This window comes from Homo sapiens, chromosome 10, assembly GCF_000001405.40.
Source record: "Homo sapiens chromosome 10, GRCh38.p14 Primary Assembly".
In the NCBI taxonomy this organism is placed as follows: domain Eukaryota; kingdom Metazoa; phylum Chordata; class Mammalia; order Primates; family Hominidae; genus Homo; species Homo sapiens.
Window position 1 is genome coordinate 11,105,924 of NC_000010.11, and position 20,607 is coordinate 11,126,530.

The following is a 20,607-nucleotide window of genomic DNA, read 5'->3' on the forward strand; positions in this document are numbered from 1 at the left end:
TATATAGTGTCTGGTTCACTTAGAGATTCTTTGTAATGAGAACAAAAAATCAAAGCTATGCAGGTATTCACTTGGCTCTTTTGATAGAATGTGGTTACTGGGTACCAGGGCTTCATATTGCAGAGAAATGATGAAAAGTTTTTATGATTTTCACATGGCCTCATTATCAGATATGTCTTGATCATTTTTGGAAGGTATTACCCACTTTACAGACAAGCTTAAGGCAGAAAACATCCAAACCCAGAACTTGGTCATCTTGGCACTTTTATTTTATTTTACTTTATTTTATTTATTTATTTATTTATTTATTTATTTATTTATTTATTTTTGAGATGGAGTCTTGCTCTGTCACGTAGGCTGAACAGTGCAGTGGCATGATCTCTGTTCACTGCAGCCTCCGCCTCCCAGGTTCAAGCCATTCTCCTGCCTCAGCCTCCCAAGTAGCTGGGATTACAGGCATGCACCACCGTGCCCGGCTAATTGTTCTATTTTTAGTAGAGACAAGGTTTTGCCATGTTGGCCAGGCTGGTCTTGAACTCCTGACCTCAAGTGATCTGCCCTCCTCAGCCTCCCAAAGGGCTGGGATTATAGGCGTGAGCCACTGCGCCCAGCCCATCTTGACACTTTTAATATTAGTCTTGAAACAGGAACAATATGTTCATTTCTGTAGAACTACGAAATGGGGACAAGGACCCAGCACCCTCCAGGGTGGAATTCCCTGAGCATTTGAAGTAGATATTTTAAGCAAGGATGAAAAATTAACATAAAGAGAACAATGAATACTCTATGAAGTAAACAGTCATCATTTGTACTTGTGGTCTTTACGGAAGGAGCTAACACCTGAGGAGGGAAAGGGCATTGCAGTTGTGGTTCTGTTTACACACCCAGCATGGGATTCTGAGTGGTGTAGTCCTTGGGGACAATGACGCTTCAGTGTGCAGGCTACTTCTCAGCTCAGACTTACTATCTAAACCTCTCTGCAGAAAGGCTGCTGGGGCACCTCCTGTGCCTGCAGGGGAGAGCTCCAGTGCTTCCCTTCCCTGCCTTGTTATCCCCTGCTGGTGCCCAGCAGATTGCAGAGGGAGCCCAGCCCTTCCAGACATCCCACTTGAACTGGGCTTAAAGCAAAAACAAAGAAGTAAGACTTAACATGTTTTGTACTAAGGGAGCTGCGTGGATACCGGTTTCCTCAGCGGCTCAGGAGGCTGCCTACCTAGCTGTCCCCACCCAGCAATAAGTGATTGGCGGCAGAAGCAAGGCGGCCAACTCAGGTGTCCCTGAGGCCTGGTGAGCAGTGCTGGTTTTGGGAAGGGGGCTGGGGGGCTGTGGCAAACCAGCAGCACCTGCCTCTCCTAGGGGGGCAGCTCCAGGCTAAACTGGCCTGTGGGCCCCAAATTCTTCAGAGAACTGGATTCCAGATGTGTGTGTTGATGTGGACACCACACACTTGTGAGCTTCTGGGAAGGAATCCTCTCATCCACCAATAGCCACCTCCATGTTTTGGAGTGCGGTCTGTAGAGTTTGGCCGCTTAGATGCTACCCTACAGAAGACTGGAGGAATGGCAACATTGTCCACAGGAGGATTAGTTGTAGTTTGAATTCACACTTACTGCAGTCCCAAGTATTTGACAAATACTTGGGGATTGAATACTATGCTATATTTTAACCAAACATATTTCTAGAAGTTAAGATACCTCACTTCCATTTTAAAGTCTTTTACTCTAATGTTTGGCTTCTGAACCCTTAATCCGGTCCATGTGTCACTTCTGAAAAGAAGCAGTCAAGCCAGGTCTCCCCTTGTTCCTTCTCTCATTCCTGGATCCTTTCTCTCATTCCCCCTTTTGCTTCCTCTCATTCTTCCTTTCCCCTTTCCTCTTCTCCCTCCTCCCTCTTCTTCCCCCTCCTCCCTCCTCTGCCCCCTATTTCTCCCCATCCCTTCTACCATCTCCTCCCTTCTCCCATCTCCTCCCTTCTCCCATCTCCTCCCTTCTCCCATTCTCTTTCCTTCCTGTCCCCCATCCCGTCTCCTTGCTCTCTCTTACCCTTCTTTCATCCCCTCCCCACACTCCCCACTCCCCACTCCCTCCCTCTCCCCACTCCTTACTCCCTCCCTCTCCTCACTGTCTACCTCTCCCCACTCCCTCCCTCTCCCCACTCCCTTCCTCTCCCCACTCCCTCCCTCTCCCCACTCCTTGCCTTCTGTAGATGTGCAGTGCTGATTGGCAGAATTCTCCCCCTCAGGCCATGCAGGGATGCTCTCATTTTGTTTTCCCCACAGCCCCTACTCCCTGCTCATTCCCTTCACAGGTTACCATTAGGATGTGTCAACCCTTTGTTTAGGTGTGTGTGTATCCTGGAAAATTAGATACTTGCATGAATTAGTTTTATAATCTACATGAATGGGATTGTGGATTCTGGTTCACTGTTTTTTTGTTTGTTTTTTCAGCCTGTACTGTCTTCAGAACTGCCTGTTTTGCTAGGTGTGCATCTTACTCCTTGCTTCTGACTGCTGCGTGGGTCCTATAACATAGATCACCCACATGTTATCTGTTCCTTCCCCTGGTAATAGCACTCTCAGCGGCCTCCCAGTCCCAGATACTTCCCATAGTGCTGCAGTGAATGCACATATCCCCTTAGGGCTTGGCGGGAGGGTTCATCTGGTTCTGTTCTGAGGCTGCAGGGCGCAAGCACACTTAACTTCATCAAGTGTGGGAGATCCTTTCTGGGATGACTGGACCCATTCATACTCCCAGGATCTGTGAATGAAGTTTCCTGTTTCCCCACGTCTCCACTTGGTGTTGACTTTCTCATTCTAATCTGATAGCTGTATCATTGTCATTTTCATTTACGTTTCTCTGATTACTGGTGAGATTGAGCTTTTCTTTATAAACTTCTTAGCCATTTGGATCCATTTCCCTTCTCTCAATTACCTGTTCACATCGTATGCACATTTTTCCATTGGGTTTCTTGTCTTTTTTGTTAATCTCTTCTATAGTCTGGATATTAATCCTCTGTTCACTGTTAGGTGTGGCACACATCTTCCAGTTTTGTCTACTGTGTCCTTTGTAGGCAGATCTGTCAGTGTGTACTCCTGGATGACTTAAATCATATTTAAGAAATTCTTCCTCATCCCAAGCTATCAAGGATATTTTCTCCAGCAGTTAATTCTGTTAGCTGCATTAGGTATATCTCATATGTAGATGTTTACGGCCCTCAGAAGGGAGGGATTTTTGTGTTTCTGTTGCTCCTGTGGCAGTAAGTTACGGATCCAGCATTTTCTCTCAATAGTAAGCTGGTTTTTATGGTACCATATCCTAAGTATTCCATCTGTTTTCCTGTAATGTGTGTTGCTACCTTTATATGTAACAAGTTGCCACATATCCATGAATCTGTTTTAGGACCCTAATTTTGTTTCTGGAATAGCAAACAGACTTGGGCATCATGGGTAAAGGCCTCCAAGAAAGCAGTGATGCAAGGACTCACTGGAGCCTCAAGTACATGGTGAATGGACTTGAGTTTCTATCTAGAATTCGAAAGCTGCAAGAAAGAGCCTTTAAATCATGCCTGCCCCATGTTGTCATTTTCACACGAAGAATCTGAAAGTTAAAGAGAGATCACAGTGCCGGTAGTCACATACCAAAGACAGACATAGGACTGTGGCCCAGGTTTCCTCTGACACAGCTAGGCACTCTCTGAATTCATTACCCTGGGCTGCTTCTTTCCTTTCACAGGTTAGAGCAGGTGATTTTTTCAGTCTCTCTACCCCTCACAATCTATTCCTGCCTATGAAAGTTTTGTGAGTTTCTCCTTACTTCTCTTTAACCTTGTTGAGGAAGCAACGCTTGTGCTCTGCAGGCCGGTTATTTAACTCCTGCATGCACATGGTTTATGTTTTCCCTTCCTCTCTCCCCGCCCCCTGACTTTGTAGCAAAAGGAAATTTATTGGCAGCAGTTTAGTCAGTGGGTGGGAGTCGAGGCAGGTGAGAGAGCAGTCTGACAGGAGTGGACTCATGATGTTTCGTATTTTAATCTGTGTCTCAAAAAATGAACCTGGGCTGGAAGCGGTGGCTCATGCTTGTAATCCCAGCACTTTGAGAGGCTGAGGCAGGAGGATGGCTTGAGCTCGGGAGTTTGAGACCAGCTTGGGCAACATAGCAAGACCTCATTGCTACTAAAAATTTTTAAAAATTAGTTGGGCATGGTGGCATGCTCCTGTAGTCCCAGCTACTTGGGGAGGGGAGAGCAGCTGCTGAGGCAGGAGGATCACTTGAGCCTGAGAGGTCAAGGCTGCATGGAACCCTGAACGTCCTACCGCACTCCAGCATGGGCGACAGAGCAAGACCATGTCTTAAAAAAAAAAATCTGCTTTTTGTTCTTTTCTAGCTACATTACATCTTTAGATGTATTACTAGAGTGTGATTTTCTGTGTGAGTATTCATCCCCGTCATTGAGTGGAACAGAAAAAATGTGAAACGATGAAGTTTTAGGAAGCCATCTAACGCTTAGTACTTCTTTTCCCATCTCCTACTACCTAAGTCGGGACAAAGCTTCTGCTTATTTTTCTGCTTCGTCTAAACACTGCTAGATTGATGAAATACACTAATGCATGGAGTAGAAACAGAGGGGCTTTAATGGAGGTCATGTCCCTAAGCAGAGCATCAGAGAGGAGAAGAGAGGAGGAGGCCTGGGTGGCATTTTGTTTGCTGTTTGGTGAGTGGGGAGATGGCAGTGAGACAGCCAGTGTGACGTTGAGAGTGTTCTCATGGGTCGTTGGCATTCTCAGCAGTGCATCAACAAAGGCCCCTTTCTTCTGGAATTCCAGAGTACAGTGTGCCCACGGGAGGCCTCATCCGGGGGCAGTTTCTGCTTGTCAAGGAACTGCAACCCTGACCTTAACCACCACCTCATTTCATGCCCGAGAGCTTGGAAGCCTAGACCCCCACTAACAAGGAGCAAAGCCCTTGGAAACGCAGCACTGCAATGAGCATTTTATTGAATTCTTTCAAAACTGGAATTACAGAACGTCCAGCAAGGCCCTTTTGGGAGAAGGGTTATAAGGTTGGAAGATAATCAGCTCAGCCTCTCCCACTCTGAGTACCATTCGGTTAGGATGTACTCTCCACCCTTTTCCATCCTGCTACCTGCCTCTGAAGTGGGAGCTGTCATTTGGAAGTGATTTGAAATACTTGGATGAGATAATAATATGTGGCATTTATTAATGGAGTGCTTTTTTACTCAGGGGCTCAGACTTTCTGGGCCTTCTAATGTGTTAATCTACATCTTCTTCCCACTGCCTGGTTTTACTTACTTTTAAAAACTTCTGTGATTAAAATAGGCAAATCGACCAAACAAAACTGTTGAACAACTTCCCTGTTCACTAGGTTAGGTCATCTAGTGATATTTAAAAGTAAAGTAGCTTCATAGAGTGGATTCTGTTGCGAGGCCTTTGTTACTGATAAGTGTTTGTCAGTTGTAGTTAAAAATGATTCATAAGAAAAAGCTTAGTTTTTCTTTGATCTGCATTCAATAAAATGTGTCTCATAGACTGAGAAATTTTTCTTCCTCCCAACATAGCCCACCAGTTCTAGAGGAAGGCTATTGTCAGTCACAAAGAGGATTTATGTTTCTTTTTTTTTCCCTAATGGGTAACTGTTGTTGCTTATGGATTGGAGAGGATTCTAAATGCTTGTCTGTCTGATATGAAGGCAGTCTCTCTTTTCACATAGGCAACGTGCCCTATGTCGTACAGGTTAGAGATGAAATACGATTGAAATCATGTGGATGCATCTTCCTGTGCTATGTCTTTCCTACAGGCAGAGTGCCCCAAGTTCACGTTGGATACGCCGAAACTCAGCGTGTTTCCACAGGCAATTTAAGAACAAATCAATACCTCAGACAGTAATACGTCTTAGAAAGAGATTTCTCATATAAGCAATGGAAGTTTTATCTTTTGAATTTGGTTGACTTATAATAATCAAATGTTTGGAGGAGGAGAGACCTATTCTTTTGACAGTCAGTGCAACCTGTATGCTCGGCCTGGTTTTTGTAAGGAAAACAGGCTACATATGTGATGGATAACTCAGAGTAGCTTTTAAAATCTACTTACTGGCTTATTTCTGGTCTCCAGTTTTGGCTTTCAAGGAGACCTCTTAGATATTTGTACCTTTACATATACATGGAATAGTACAGCAGAACTTTCTCAATGGCCTGTGTCTAGGCAGACCCTGAGCTGATGCTCTTGCATGTGCCACATTTTACTGGGTGCGAATGTCTTTCAGCAAAGTCCTGCTTTATAGGCTCTTGCATATTATTCTTCATCTCCACCTTGGGAATAATGAGCTTTTTCCTTTCTTTGAGATGTATCTCAGGAGGTAGAAAGCACCATCAAGATCGCATTCGCTAGGGACACATGAAGAATTTGAGATGATGTGTTATGCAGTACGGGAAAGGGAGTCAGAAACTGCAGGAGTTAGAGAAAGACGAGGACATGTTGACATTCCTAGTGACGTATATGTACACACATACACAGTACACACGTGTGTGTCACCTCTCATTACACATGCACATTCACATGAGAGGGACTAGAACCGTTGGCCAGGCTCGGAGTGGTGCTTCAGCTTTCCAACTGGTTACCAGTTGTTTTCTGATAGCAAAGGAAGAAGTAGATGTGGTGGATAGCGAAAGATGTCTTGATGTTTAGGAGAAGAAATTCAAGTGGCAATAAAATGTAAACAACGATATTTATGGGAAAAGCAATAGTAATGATCAATTTTAATGCAAGCATCTGTGAGACCAGAAGTTGGGGCAACACAAATGATTTATAGACAAAGGTATGGCAAGTGCAAACTAATTTGTGAAGGGAGCTATCTTTGAAACGGAACCATGAGTAAACGCAGTGCATTTCCACATGCGTAGCCCATATCCGAAGCTTGTGTCCTGACTGAGTCATGAGTAAACGCATTGCATTTCCACATGCGTAGCCCATGTCTGAAGCTTGTGTCCTGACTGAGTCATGAGTAAACACAGTGCATTTCCACATGCGTAGCCTATATCTGAAGCTTGTGTCCTGACTGAGTCGTGAGTAAACGCAATGCATTTCCACACGTGTAGCCCATATCCGAAGCTTGTGTCCTGACTTCAGCAACACTGGGTCTTACTACCAGTATTGGGAAAGCCAATGAACAGGGAAACACAATTTTTAGTTACTGAGTGAATCAATATCTTCTTACTTTAAAATATAGATGGCTTTCACTTGCATTCTAACCTGGATAGTGATTCTTGCCAAGGTAATATATAAGCACTTTGTCATGTTTCCAAAAGGAAAATCAAGATTGTGTTTTATTCACTGTTAAATTGGCATTTTTAGGTGTTTTAAATTCACCGAGGATAGCATCATCAGCATCATCATTGCTATTAATGTAATTATTACCACCACTAGATGGTGCATGGGGAATTGGGGGCACCGAATGTTATAGGAGGCGTTCTCCTCTATGCTATCACTAATTGGTTGTTAAGGGAATATAGAAACATATCAGAGGGTGGAGGAAAAGGGACGATAAAATATGATGGACTTTTCTCACTAATTAAAGCTATGCTGGAGATACAGTGGTGGAAATAGGTCTGGCTGGAGAGAAGGTCTTCTATGTTTGCCCCTTTAAATATACGTGGGATACTAAAATAGAATTTTATAAATGCTCTGTATCAGAAGCAAGTATTCCTTAAATTGGAGAAGGCCTCTGGTGTTCTGGTGGGGCTAGGTTCTTGAGAATCCCTTATTAAATACGACAGTCCACCTCGACCTGGGTTCCCAGCGGGTCTGCCTGTATGGATTTGCATGAGCTGGGGTCCTGCCTAGTCTCCTCTGTGCAGCCAGCCTAGGAACACAAGAAACAAAAGCAAGGTTCTTGATTTGACAGGTGTCATTTTCGAGGACCATCACATCTTGATTTTTTCTTTCTTCTGTTCATTTTGATAGACTTCAGGGAGCCTCTGCTGTCAGAAAATGTGCTGGCTCCTGGCTTCATATATGATTTGTGTCTAGCTTCCTGTAGACTAAAAATATCAGCAGAAGGAATTATAGATGGTTCAATTAAAGTAGTAATTGGGCAAAAACGGCTCATAACAAATCCAATTCTGGGAAATGCTTCTGTGCTTTGATTATTATGTTCCTCCCTATTTCTCCCTCTGCTTACTTTTTTAAAGTTTGATATAATAGCTCATTTGAGGGTTTCCTAGTTCTTGTTGGTCTCTCTCATTTTAATACCTAGCAAAGGGCCAGGTGCTCAGAACATGCTGAGAGTAAAAACAATGAAATGAGTAATGATCAAAAAGACTTTAAGAAATGTTTTGAACATAGAAATAATAATTTCTTAATATCCACAAGCATAATAGGTCAATAGTATTTATGTAAAATGCCAGTACACAACAAATGTGAAGGAGTATTAATGAATGAAACTGCTGTAGCAGTAAATACATAACATATCAAAGAAAATGTGACAGTTCTAGATGCTGTGTCATATCTTTTTATAACACCAAATAAGGATTTGTCACAAGCCACTTAATGACTCTTTAAAAGTTGCTAATGTTCTTACTTACACTCTCGTCGAGTCATAAATCAAAAAAGGACTTGAAATTAAGACCCATGGTTGGAATATCAATGCAGTCAAATATCTGTTCTTTGTATGAGGTTGAGTGAGTGGATGATGATGGTGAATTTGAGAATGAAAGGGTTCTAATAAGTGATTGTTGAGTGGCAATGGGTTGGCCACAGCACTTTAGTTCTTTTGACTTGAGAAATTGAAATGTATCCTAACATATTAAACTTCACAAAGATGTTTATACTCTGAAAAGATCAATACCTCTTTTTCTACACCCACTACAGAAGATGCGATCATTTATTATACGATTTTGAGTTCTGATCAACCAAAACATACAACTAAAACATCACAATTGTGTTTTCTTTTTTAAAGGTCATCAATTCAGTAGATAGCTGATTTTCTGTATGTAATTCTGTCCCTTTAGTATCCCCACTGGCTTCCCAACATGTAGTATATGTACCTTCTGGCACACAGTAGGGCCTCAATAAACATTTTTGCAAGGATGAATTCAAATTGAATTTGAAGAATAAATACCGGAAGAATAAAATTGGCCCCACATAAATGTGTGGGGATCTACTTGTTGCAAATGGTCCAGGATGCAGATTAATATGCAGTAGGCACGTGAATATCTGGAGGTCAGCAAGGTACAGTAGTGAGATGTACACATCTACACAAATTGATTTTTTCAACTTCGTTTGATTGGTAACACTGATTCAAATGTAGTCATAAGACTCACAGTAATAGCTTAAGAGATAAAAAGGGATGTGTGTTTTCACTAGCATTTTATATCTGGCCCAGCAGCTGCAAAGAACCTGATGCTACAGGCGTTTAACATACTTTTCTTGGATTGTTGAAAAGGGGAAAGGAAGAACAGGGGTCATTAGGAATTCTTGCCCTTTCTTGTAGGGAAAAGAAAGGGCTTGCTTGTAGTAGGAGGGAGTTGTATTTGTGAGTCATAGGGATCCATTATCCATATCTGCTGAAGGGCTGTCAGATATGAAGTAAATTTAGAGACCTACTTGTCCCTTTAGCTATTCATCACTGTTGATTGGCGCCAGTGGCAGGCAGCAGTATTTTTAGAGAAGCGAATGATATGGAATTTCTTCAAGTACAGAACATTGGCTGATCCCATTACTCAAAGCTACTCAAAAAGTCACAGCTGACACTTGACAGAACTACAGAGGAAAAACAATAGACCTAAGAAGCAAAATACTGAAATGCATGATGAAAACATAGGGAGATTCAAGTTACTCATCACCACTGCTAATCCAGTTTGGTGCTGCTGGTTGTCAGTGGTATTAAAAATATAATTTTCACAGGAATCGATTTTATGCATGTCTCTTTGCCCTATCATAGAGTGAAAAATAGGCTGATTTTTCACATCTTGTACCACCTTCCTTTGTAATATATCTGACATTTATGCTTTGACAATTGGTATGTGAAGAAGACACATGAAGGACCTTTTTCCCTGTAGCAGCCAGCATGGTGCTGTATCTTGGTTTCCAAATGATAAATGCAGGAAAATAGCAAACAGTTTTAAAAATGGCCTTAATCCTGTGGGACAGTATTCGTAATTTCTCGATAAAATCCTTTTAATTTAATACTCTAAATTAATGTTTTGAATTGCTTCTCTGCAAGAATGCTAGATCGTAGAAATGTACAAACCATCCTTCAGAAGAGTAAAAGACTAAGCCATCTACAGTTGTAACTGTCAGTGAATGGCCAAGACTTAACTGCAGTGGAGCCTTTTCAGCAGTCTGTTATTAGACTTAATTTTTAAAACCTAATCACCAGAGATGCCTGAGTCTGTTGACTTAGTTTGACAAGAAATCTGTGCATGTTTACAAACTTAACATGGTCAAGAAGCCTGTGCATGTTCACACACTTACATGTAGGAGAAGTCTGTGTGTTCACTAATTTACACGTATGAGAAGTGAGCATGTGTTCACTAACATACATGTGAGGCCTGGAGTCTAACCAGAAACTGATCAGCAAGGCTTCAGGTCTCAGGTCTTGAGCGCTAGTGCCACAGCTGGGTGTGCTGATAACTTGGCAAAATCAGTTGGTGGTTTTCGAGCTGTGGAGAGAAGAGTGCCTGGTGAGTTCAGCGAAGTTGGTTGGATGTCCAGTGGTGGTCCCTTCACTTGTTAAATTCAGTGAAGAAAGAGACCCTGTGCTCCTTTTGATGACATGGCCAAGAAAATTATCAGAATTTGTCAAAAGAAACTTTGAACAAAGGTATTAGGTAGCGTCTATTAAAAATTCATCAGTAAGTTGTTTATGTCAGTCGGAGAAGTACACTGAACATCATAGTAGAATAATTTATTCATTCGTTAACCAACACTTACACAACACCTAAACTATGGTAGATACTATTTTGAACGGCTTACAGATACTATTATATTTAATCCACATGACAGTCATATGATTTAAGTGGTATGATCACCCTCTTTTTAGCGATAAGGAAACTTGGGCACAGTTAAGTCATGTGCCCAGGATCACACAGCTGGTAATGGCAGAACTTTCACGTGAACCTGAGCGGTCTGGCTTCAGAATCCACACTCAAGCCACTATGCTGTGCTGCTTCTGAGTAATACAAGGCAATGATTTGTAAATCACAGTGACAACCAGTGATAACCTATTTTATTCCTTTATATCATCCCGCTCTACTCACATCTTTTAGGCTCATTAAAGGATTTAGTTGAATGCCAAATGTGTGGACTTAGAAGAACTGGCTTTGAATTCCGACATTTACTGGCTGTGTGGCTTTGGAATAGTCACCTTTCTGAGTTGCTTTCTTCATTCAACGGGTGTAACAATATAAATCCTGCTGATTTCACAAAAGTCAAAATGTTTTGCCCTGTAGAAATTGGTTAGGTATCATTCGAAAAAGCCAGTGGCTCTCCAGGAATGAAGATGCTCAAGGAGGCCTTGCTGTCTACCTGTGCTACCAGCTTTCCTGTGCTCTGCAGCAGCTCTAGAGGCCACTCCTTTAGACCTAGGTCCATCTTGAGGTGTTGTTATACAGCCTCTTAGGGGTTTTTATGTCTGACTCCATAATATTTATGATAAAAACAAAAACCACGTGTGTGATGGTATCATGACATGAATATGATCCTTGCTGACATTAAAATGGAGCAGTGGTCTCCATTCCAGGTGATGAATGACAAAATCACCCAAGTATTTTTAAAATGTGTGACTCTCCAGAGAGGGTACCCTTGAGTGGCTCTTCCACTGACCCCGGAACTTCCAAAGCATCAGGCTTGGGTCAAATAGGATTCATCTGAGCTTCTGGTTCTGATCTTGTAAAAGCTAACTCATGCATGCACAACATGATAGGCCATGTCACTCCTCACAGCCTTTTTCTGCGCTATCCTTTTATACATTTTTTATAAGGCAGAATGCTTTGAATGCATTCTGCCTCAAAAGGCATTTTGCTCTAATGGCTGTGTGGAAATGTTCATTCTCTGCTTCTATGTTTTTAAAAAACAAAAGGGTAATCAGAAGCATTTAATTGTCTTAGATGCTCAACAAATAGTAATTAAAAGCTATTTTTTTTTTAGTTTTGCAGAAGTATAAGCATGCCTGTGAATTAAATAAGGCCATGTGTCAAGACTGATTTGCACAGTGAAGGTAATATATTTTAGTAGCGCCAACTGAGGGCTCATTGCCCAATTGCATGATAAGCAAACCCCATTTGAATGGGTGTTTATTCTTCATCCTGGTTCTCGGTAGTCTGAACCCAAGGCTTGGTGTACTGTTTTCAATAGGTCACCTCCACTTGATCTTTGTTTTCCTCTTAAGTGGCATGCTGAAAAACCACATTCATCTATGGGGAGTCTTTTTGTGTTGCCCAGGCTGGTCTTGAACTCCTGGCCTCAAGTGATCCTCAGGCCTCAGCCTCCCAAAGTGCTGGGATTACAAGTGTGAGCCCCCATGTGCCTTGCCCCCAAAGCTTTGAGTAACAATGCTCAAAGATACGTCACTTCTGTTAAAAGATTAGTATATTCAGTAAGTAGTTCCTAATGTCTCCATTTTGTAGAGAGAAGAACTGAGGCATGGTGACTTCAGATTTTTGCGTAAGGTCATAGCTAGTCAGTAGAAAAGCTGAAGTTACTGACTTTGGGGTTCTTGGCCTTGGATTTTCCTCACCAGTTCAACAGCTTCTTATTTGTATGTTGAAGAGAAATGTTAAAGCAAATAAATGTCTTAGCTCATCCTGTACAAGGATGAGAAAATCAAAAGCCTGTAGTGTTATTTTACAGCTCAGGAGTCACTTCTCTTGTCCTTGAATCATTTGAGCAGGAGACAAGGAGGTCAGCAACCCCCAGTTCTATTTTGGTCCTGACCGATGACTGCTTGTATGACCTTTCGCAAGTCACTTAACTCCTGTGTCACTCTCTGTGAAATGAGGATGGAGGAGCCCTGCTCCCCTGCCAGTCTCCGATGGTGACTTCATCAGGAAAGGTGAGCCAGAGATGCTCAGACAGAATGGCCTGCTTATGGCACTTTCTCAAGCCGCCATCCAGTTGACCAGCTACATGAACAAGGCTGAAACTAGATCAGGACTGATGAGTCTTCACCAAGAAGATGCACCAGAAAAGCAGTGCCACCATGTCACCTTCTGTGTCCCTGTAGTAACGAAGGCAGGAGGGTCTGAAGGCACATTTTTTTTCCCCTTAAACTTTAGACTTCTTGCATAAACTTGAGCATATTTAAGAGAGCTTGATAAAATAGAGCAATAAATTCAGTTGTTGAAATTCAGTAGATAGGCGTCCTGAAAGTCAGATGTTACTTTGGTAACAATCCTGTGTCCTAAGGACAGTAGATGTTCACTATCCAATACCTCCGAAGAAGCTGGGGAGTGCCCTGGGATTCAGGATAGCAGACCTCATTTCTTTCATAGCACTTTAAACAAGATTTTAAACAGAAAAATAATGTCTTATAGCAATCAGATTTATGGTTTTCTCTAGCATAGGCTTACCCATTAATAACTTATTTAATCAATTCCAGAATAAATGTGTCATTCAGAAATGTCATGTTTGTACTATAAATCTTTAGTTCCTTTTTACCAACAAATTAACTATTTTTAATATTTAAACTTTCATAAATTATTTTAAAAATCAAAAACCCTAGGAAAAAAATGAGTGAGGGATACAAACATACAAATAGACTTTTCACAGAGAAAGAAATACAAGTCGTAAATGTACACATGAAAAAGCCTTTATCCTCCTCCCCCTATAATGATCAAGGGAGTGGAATACCACAGTGATCAAGAGGATGCATATATCTGGATTCAAATCCTAAGGGCACTGTTTATTTGCCTGGCTGCTTGATTCCGCCTCCCCCCCCCCGGCCCCCGCTTTTTTGTTTATTGACATATTATTTGCATATAATAGAATTCATCGTTTCATAGGTACACTTTGAATTTTGATAATCACATATAATTGTGCAACTTCCGCCACAACCCATTTAGTTATTTGTTTATGCTTCCATTTCCCAGCTGTTAATTTTCCTGACATAAGCAGAATTTGGTCCTATCACTGCTAATTCTCCAGGTGAAAGGAGAGGTTCATTTGAGTCAGCAAGCATCCTTTGAGCATGTCGTGTGTGTCAAGCACCTTCGCCAGGTGTCAGGGGATACTGTCTTCAGAGTTCATATACTATAAGGATAGGCATTTGCTCACAGATGTATGCATATTTAGCTCTTAATTTACACATCGGTGCAGAAAAGGAGACCCTACTTAATAGTCCCAAGGAGCAAATATTCCCCAAATAGTTAGTAGCAAGTAGCAAAACTGTGCCATTCCCTGTGCTCCTTCCCCCTAGAAGCAAACAGAAAAGCTTTGCTGGGTTTTGCTCCTTAGTTTTTAATGTTCTAACAGGTTTGCATTTCACCTGTTTCTATGATTGTTGAATAACAGAAAATGAACCAAGAGAGCATAAGATTTCAAGCTTGCTTCTTGTTATTTAGAGACATGCCAACAACCCACACCATCTATGCAGTTGAAATTTCTGCATCTCCAAAGACCCTTTCCCCTCCCCACCAGAAGTACCAGCTGCCACTCAGGGAGAGCACTCTTGCCCTTCAGAAATCCCAAGGAGAATCTAGGACAACTGCATTCAACTGTGAAACCCTGAAAGAGCCTTTGCTGTTACCTTTGCTGCATCTAGGGAGTGCTTAATTTCTCCTCCAGCTTCCCCACCCCTCACCAGCCCTTGCAACCCATCCATGCTGTGGCTGGTTTGGGCCCTTGATTTCATAGATTACTACCTGAAAGCAGAAAAGGACCATAGTGAGACTTACGGCAGCACTACAGTTAGCGCTGAGGCTCTTACAAATACTTTGTGAGTGCTCCTGCCTGAAGCTTGGAGTCCTTGAAGTGCAGAATTACTGCAGGTGCAGCAGCTCAAATCAACAGCTTTTAAGCGCGTCCATTTGCAGACGTGCCAAGAGCTTGCAAGGAGGTGTGTAGCCTGTAAATGAGCTCAGTGTCTACAGTTTCCATTATTTAGACCCCAAGGCATGTTCCTGTCGTGGACAGAAATCACCACCTTAGACCCATATCTTGCCCGAGAAGTTTATAAGTCTACACAATTGGACTTTTCAACTACATACTATTTTGCAAATTCAGAAATAATAAAATTCCCACCAATTTCCAGGCATAGAAAACCAATTTCTTCCTTGATGGGTCCAATTACATGGTTGATACAAAATTTTAAGACCTATCTTAGTGTTTTCAGAGGCTAGCCAGTCTCTGTGGGCTTGTGAATAAATAGCACACATAAGATGCTGGAGTCTTTGTAGGTCTGGACTGTTTGCTTGAAAGAAATTAGGCAAATTCTTCTGATGCCAAACCATTAAGCAGCATTTTCTGTTTTGCAGTACCCTTTGTTTTTGCCTTCATTCCTCTCTCCCTCTGTCCTTGCTGTCCCTCCCTTCTTTCTTCTTTGGTTTCTTCTCATCTTCCCTTAACAATTATTTGAGGCCCTACTATGTGGTTGGTACCATGTTGTGCTGGGGATACAGTGATGAACAGAAACAAATGGTTCATGCACTTCAGGTGCTCCTGGTCAAATAGCGACGCAGACGTTAGTGAAACACAAAAATAAATATAAGTTAATATTCTGGTTAGTGCAATGAAGTAAGCTTGCCTAGTGCTAAGAGGCTAGTATTTTTTTTGTTTTTTTTACTGTCTTTGACTTTGATTTGTGGAAAAAAATGCTTTTGCTGTGTCTGTTTCTTAATGAAGGATGCCCCATAGTGTTTCTTGCAGAAACTGTCTTTCCGGAGGTCTTAATTCTGAATACACGGAGCCCAGCATGCTCAAAGAAATGCTCTGATGACAGGGGAGAGTAGAGACGATGTACATTTAACTGAGGAAATGTACTCCTCAAGAAAGGGCTCAGTGCAGACTGATGAGGGGCTTTATTTTGTCCATGTGTGCCAGATAACCGCATAGCCCAGCATGATGGCAGATTATGAGTTCATCTTAAAGAATCTGGAACGCTCCACACCCAGGTGAGGTACACTATATAATTGAGGCATCTCTGGCAAATCTTGGTTTCTATCCTGGCTTCCATTGTGTTTTTAAGAAGCTGTTGAATGGAACATTCTTTTTTCAATGCATAGCACTATTCGTTATTTGGAACAGTGTTTTTTTGAAAATGGATCTCTGCAGCAAGGCCTCAGCTGTATCCCTGGATCCTTTCTTAATATGACAGCCTGTCATCCCCCAAACTATACAGAACAGCCTTGCTTTGCAACCTCATGCACTTTTTAAAAATTTGCAATAATGATGGCAACCATTAAAATGATAGAAACCACTTACTAATCAGTTTAGTAACCAAGGACATCTGCTTTACATAATACAGAGACATATTAAAAAGGCTTTTATGTTGTTCAGAAATTGTCAAAGTTAAAAAACCTAGTGGTAAAATCAGTTGATTCTTTGTGCTGCTTTTCAAACAGCTTTACCCTTCAAACAGTGACTGTAGAAAGCCACCTATTTGTGTTGATTCAAAATGTCTTGAGGAAGTAAGCCCTTCATAGAGCGTATTCCAGAAGGCTTCCTCACTTGATAAACGGTTATTAGGATTTGAGTTCCTTTCCCCCTCCTTTTAGATTTGTTCCTTTAACACTATGAGAAACAGGCCTCTTACAACAAGCAGTCGTGAAAGAAATTCTCATGCATAACTTTAAAGTTTTATTGATGCATATCAAGTATTTAAATTATAGCCAAGCTCAATTTTTCTCATCAGGAAACTTACCTTCTTGGACAGAAACCTAGGAAATTATTTTCAAGTTTGCAATTGCTGTTGTGGAGATGAACAGCAGAACTGTGGGAGTATGTGTCGGGCACCTGGTCTACCATAGAGTGGGGCCAGGGCTTGAGGGAAGCTCCCTGGAGGAGGCAGGAGAGCATCTCTCCGAAGGGCTAGTCATGCAGCTGCAGGATCTGGGAGTACGGTTTATAGTTTGGAATATAAGTTCCCGAAAGTAGCAAAAAGAAGAAAAATAAGGGCAAATACATTGTACATCCATAGTTTTCCAGTTCCTCCCGGTCCTCAGTCTCCCAGCTCTCCAGTTGTGTGTCTGGAGTAAAATCCTAGATGTTATGGGAGGAGGCACTTTTTACAGCCATGAAGATTTGTGATCTCTAAAGTCCTTGCTTACAAGCACACTGTTTGGAGGTCCCAATTCTGAGTCAGGGTTTGTTTTTTGTTTGATTTTTAAATTTTTTTTTAGAGACAGAAGCTTACTCTGTCACCCAGGCTGGAATACCATGACACAATCCTAGCTCACTGCAGCCTCAAACTTCTGGACTCAAGAGATCCTCCTGCCTCAGCCCCCTGAGTTGCTGAGACTACAGGCACACGCCACCATCCCTGGCTAATTATTTTATTTTTTGTAGAGACAGGGTCTGGCTATGTTCCCCAGCTGGTCTCAAACTCCTGGGCTCAAGAGACCCTCCCACCTCAGCCTCCCAAAGTGCTGAGATTATAGGTGTGAGCCACCATGCCCGGCTGAGGCAAGGTTTTGATAGGTGGTGAGGGTTAAGAGTTGGGTGATAATCCTCTGTGATGTTAGTGAGTCTCTGGGGCTGAACACCATGTTGGGACAATTCCTTTGCATGAGACATTTGCTCTTTGCAGAAAAGAGCCTGCTACCCCCATCCTGCTGCGCAGTGGCCATTACTTCTCTAGTGATGAGCACATTAACAGAGCACAATCCAGTAAAGTCCTTCTAAGATGAAAAACAAGGAAAAAAATATTAAGCTAATATGTACAGTAACATGAAGACCTGTACCTTTTGTTTTTCTTACAGTCTCTTCTTTCTTATGTCCCTGTCTCTCTGTATTGGTCAGTTCTCATGCTGCTAATAAAGACATACCCAAGACTGGGTAATTTATAAAGAAAAAGAGGTTTAACTCACAGTTCCACATGGCTGGGGAGGCCTCACAATCAAGGCTGAAAGTGAATGAGGAGCAAAGTCACGTCTTACATGGTGGCAGGCAGGAGAGCTTGTGCAGGGGAATTCCCGTGTATAAAACCATCAGATCTCATGAGACTTATTCACTATCATGAGAACAGTATGGGAGAACTGCCCCATGATTCATTTATTGCCATCTGGTGCTGCCCTTGACACATGGGGATCATTACAATTCAAGGTGAGATTTGGGTGGGGACACAGCCAAATCATATCACTCTCCCTCTGTCTCTCTTGATAATGAAAGATTAGAGATGTGTGTATACATACATACCTACACACTCAATGTAGTCGCTCTTATTATTCTTATATGACCTTCCTATGAAATGAGATGGGTTCCACCTGTTCATGAGCCTTTTTTGAGGAAAGGACAATATCACTTAGATTCTTAATTCCTAATAAAGATGGAAATGGGATGGGATAAAGGTTGCTCCATTGAAAATAAATTGCATTACAAAGATGAATGTAATAAACTTGATGTTTTTTAGATCTAAAACAGACTGATTCAGCTTTTTAAAATGTAACATGAAATGGCAATGTTTTAAATTTTCCAAAAATTGGAGATCATTTGTGTCAGGTGAATGGGAAGTTCAGTAAGGCATTATCAGTCTGTTATTCAAGCATCTGTCCCACATGCATCTGTTGAGTACCTACCATGTGCCAGGCACTGCAATAAGTTCTAAGCGTACAAGGTACACACAGCATTCATGGTGCCTGATCCCATGGAGCTTACAGTCTATTATACGTGAAATTTCCAAAGTTGCTGAAAAGATTGAAAATACCTTTGGTACATATTCATAAATTCTTCTGATACTTTCTATGGCTTATGGATAGCATATTTCACTTTGATTCACATATGCTTATATATATTTTTTATAAAGCATGAGATTTTCTTCTTACAGACCAGGATGGGGGAGAAAAAATGTTGGTTGAAGTTTTCTTTCCTGGAACAACAGGTAGATTACAAACAGGCATAAGGCAAAATTTGTCCCCATATTGTGTGATATTGTTTTACTCATTACTTCAGTCTACGTGACTTCCTTTCTAATGGGAACCACTTAGCTGGACCATTAAGTATGATGGTTTCAGGTTCAACAGGCTCTCTTTTGAAATTGACCCAGTCAGTGGTTAGAAATGGCCAAGAACTTACACAGATGTAGTGTGAGGACCTCTGGGCCCAGCTGAGTGCAGATCATTAAACAGCAGGGGCCATACAAACCAAACTCTCCAGCGGTCTTACACCCAGGGCTCAGGGAGTGAAAGAATAGTCAGTTCTCTTGTTGGCTGTTAATTTGGATGTAAATCTAAACTTTTGAGAGCTAGGAATCGGGATTTTTCAGTGTCCTTTGTTATTTGTAATGTGGCCATAGGGTGAAAGCCCTTGGGTATGCTCCATTGATAAAGAGAGGCAGGTTTAGGGTAGTAACTGGATAAAAAAAAAAAATGAGAGTTTCACACAAGCAACCAGTGGCTCAGAGAGGAGAGCTCAACCGTAACAACTAAATTTTGAAAATACTTCTCTCTTGAGGGGATTAAGTCTCTCAATTCACTCCCTTTTTTAAAATAAACCAATGATGTGTTATAACATGCTGTCTTCATTTTAATTCACTCCAAAATGGCGCAGTGGTCCAGGGTTTATGCTGTTAGAGCGGTGATGGTAGCGTTTTGCCACACTGCTGTCACCTCTCGGTTTTGCTATCCTGTCCACTTACTTTGTCACTACAGCCTTAAATCCCTACTGCCCCCATTAAAGTGTCTACTTGTCTCCTAAAACTCATTTATACTGTTTGTTTTTGATGTCTTCCTTGGCAACTTAATTTATATGTCTGCTGTTTTTCAAACGGAGTAATACTCTGCGCTTACTCTAAATTTTGTGTTATTAAAATCACAGCTTTTGGGTTTGTGTGGCTTCCACCAATGTAAACAATTCGTCTCATTTTCCTGTCAACACACGCTTATAATTTTTAGTGTATTTCCTCAAATTGTCTTCCCATCACTCAGAATAAGGTCTTTCTGTTCACTTGACGTAAAATACTACATCCTGCAGCTATGCTGGCTTGAGCTGCTTTACACCTCCTTTGAGTAGTCAAGATACGCTGTCTGGAAGACAATGACCAAGTAAGGATGAGTTCATTTACGATGATTAATGTTTTCCTAAGTTTCCAGTTCTCTGTGTTTTTATTTTTAATTTTCTGCCTTTCACAGCATTTTCAGCAATAACCAAGGAATCCTGAATCCTTTCAGAACCATTTTTCGCCTCTGTATCTGCTAACCATTTCTTGCCTTTTCTCTCACATGTCTACTCACATTTCAGGGTGTCAAAAATGGACCAGTATACCTACAAAAGTAGAAACACAACCCTTGCAAGGTGGACTATAGTATTAAGCAAACTAGGAAGAAGAGAGGGGTTTGACAACTCACTAGACGTTTTCAAGATGGCATTCGTCATACATACAAGTATAGATACATATATATGTGTGTATTTACAGTTACATCAGAATACAGGGATTATATTTTCAA

The 20,607-nt window shown here is 41.6% G+C and overlaps 1 protein-coding gene across 60 annotated transcripts in view; it reads left to right on the forward strand.

Moving 5' to 3' along the window:
• CELF2 (CUGBP Elav-like family member 2) overlaps positions 1-20,607 on the forward strand; it is an 874,126-nt gene that overhangs the window by 643,374 nt on the left and 210,145 nt on the right. The gene's annotated exons all lie outside the window — the stretch shown is intronic.